Raw genomic sequence first — 2127 nt, 5'->3', positions numbered from 1 at the left:
TTGCTATATGTAATAATCCTGGAAGAGGGCTGGGCCCAAGGAAACCCCATTTGTCATGCTATGGCCCCGGATTTCCCAATGTTTGGTATCTTGAGGTTTAATTGGAAAGAGATAAGTTTGGCTAAGGTGGGAGACAGCACCCATGGACTCTGAATTATTGTTATAGCTTTGGATTTTTCTACTTGTACTCATCCTTGGCTCTACTAGCCCACCTTCTACCGTCTAGCTAATGTGATCTTTCTAAAACACAAATCATACTAAGCAATTCTCCTGATTAAATTTTCTTGCAGTTGCACTCTATATTATCAGGTTAGTACTAGATTATGGTGCAGGGGCAAATTAACTCATAATCTCAGTGATTTAGCAAAGCAAAGGCTTAAGTCTTACTCATTCTACATATCCCCTGTGGCTCAGGTTTATGGGTTGGATATTCTGCCTCAAGTCACTCAAGAATCCAGCCTTATATTGGCTCTGCCATCTGGATATTGCTGGTTGCTGCAGGAAGAGTAGTGAGCACAGGAAGATGCTACAATTGCTGTTCTATGCTTTGGACCAGAAGTGACATATTGCATTTCTACACACAGCCCATTGACCAGAACTAGTCGTATAGGTACCCCACAATCCCCTTAAACTTCAAGGTATGTGAAGTACAGTCACGTGTCCAGGAGGAGAGAACAGATATTGGTGAGCACTGGTTAAGTTTACCACATTGTCCATTGCCCTTGTCATAGAGGTTTTCCATAATTTGATCTTTGCTTTCACTATAACTGCTCCCTGCACCACTCTGTTACCCTACCATCCCATCCCCATTTCTCATTGAAATCCAGCCATACTGAACTTTTTGCAGTTCTCAGAATGTGCTGTGCTATCTCTCACAGCTTTGTAAATACGTATGTTGCTTTCTTTGCCTAAAACACCTTTCCTGACTCTTTTATACTCTTTACGATCCAGTTCTAGAATTTCTTCCTCTAGGTGGGAAAATTTTCCTAATCACTTCAACCCCAGTGGGTTATTAGCTATTATCTTGACCCCACAATACTGTTATTAACTTCAGTGTGGCACTCTAATTGTGTATTGATTCACTTATTCTTTCTACCAGACTATCAAGAGGTATCTTGGAGCAGAAACCATGTTTTTAAAAATTTTGAATCCTTTATATGAAATACTTAGCTTATAGTAGGTGCTTAAGAAATATTTTCTGAGTGATTACATAAATCATAGACTTTATACCTCTGTTAGTAGGTTAAAATGGATGTTAAATTTGAAATCTGGGAAATTAAATTATATCTGAACAAAAGTTAATAATTAATATCTTTTGTATGGCTATATTCACAATTAGTCTATGTTAGAATTTTAATATTTATCTAAAATAAAATTAATGCTATGAAAGTGTCATAACATCTAGAGGAAGATTTCCTTTTTTTCCTTATGAACAATCTCTTAAGTAAGTTTACATTTTGGTGTTCTTTACCTCTGTGTTTTCTGTATAATTTTGCATATAAATGTAAGTTACTCAAACCCACAATCAGAGTTGAAGCCATGGCAGACCATGACCTGCCATTTTCCTTGAAATTCCTGAGGAAACTTTCTGTTACTAATGATTCTGGCCCTCTTTGTGAGACTTACCTTCTTTACCTTTGTTATGGGTTGCATTGATATGTTGAAGTCCTACTCCCCGGCACCTAGGAATATGACTTTCTTTGAAAATAGGTCTTTGAAGATGTAATCAAGTGAAGATGAGGTCATGGTTCATTAGGTTAAGTCCTAATTTAATATGACTGGTGTCCTTATAAGAAGAGGAGAAGAGACACAAGCACACAGAGAGAATGTCATGTGGTGGCAGTAGCAGAGATTGGAGGGAAGACACTGTGAATCAAGCAATGCCAAGGGCTGATGGGTACTACCAGAAGCTGGGAAAAGGCAAGGAAAAATTCTACCCTGTGTTTGAGAGGTTAACATGGCACTGCTGTGATTTCAGACTTCTACCCTGAAGAACTGAAAAAGAATAAATTTCTTCTGTTTTAAGTCATCCTTTTTGTGGTACTTTGTTGTGTCAGCCCTAGGAAAACAATACAGTCTCGTTTTCATTTTTTTTTTTTTTTTTGCTCTCATAAATAGACACACATT

Source organism: Homo sapiens, chromosome 4 (assembly GCF_000001405.40).
Source record: "Homo sapiens chromosome 4, GRCh38.p14 Primary Assembly".
Lineage (NCBI taxonomy): Eukaryota > Metazoa > Chordata > Mammalia > Primates > Hominidae > Homo > Homo sapiens.
The sequence above is the reverse complement of the archived record's forward strand: the minus strand, read 5'-3'. Positions refer to the sequence as shown.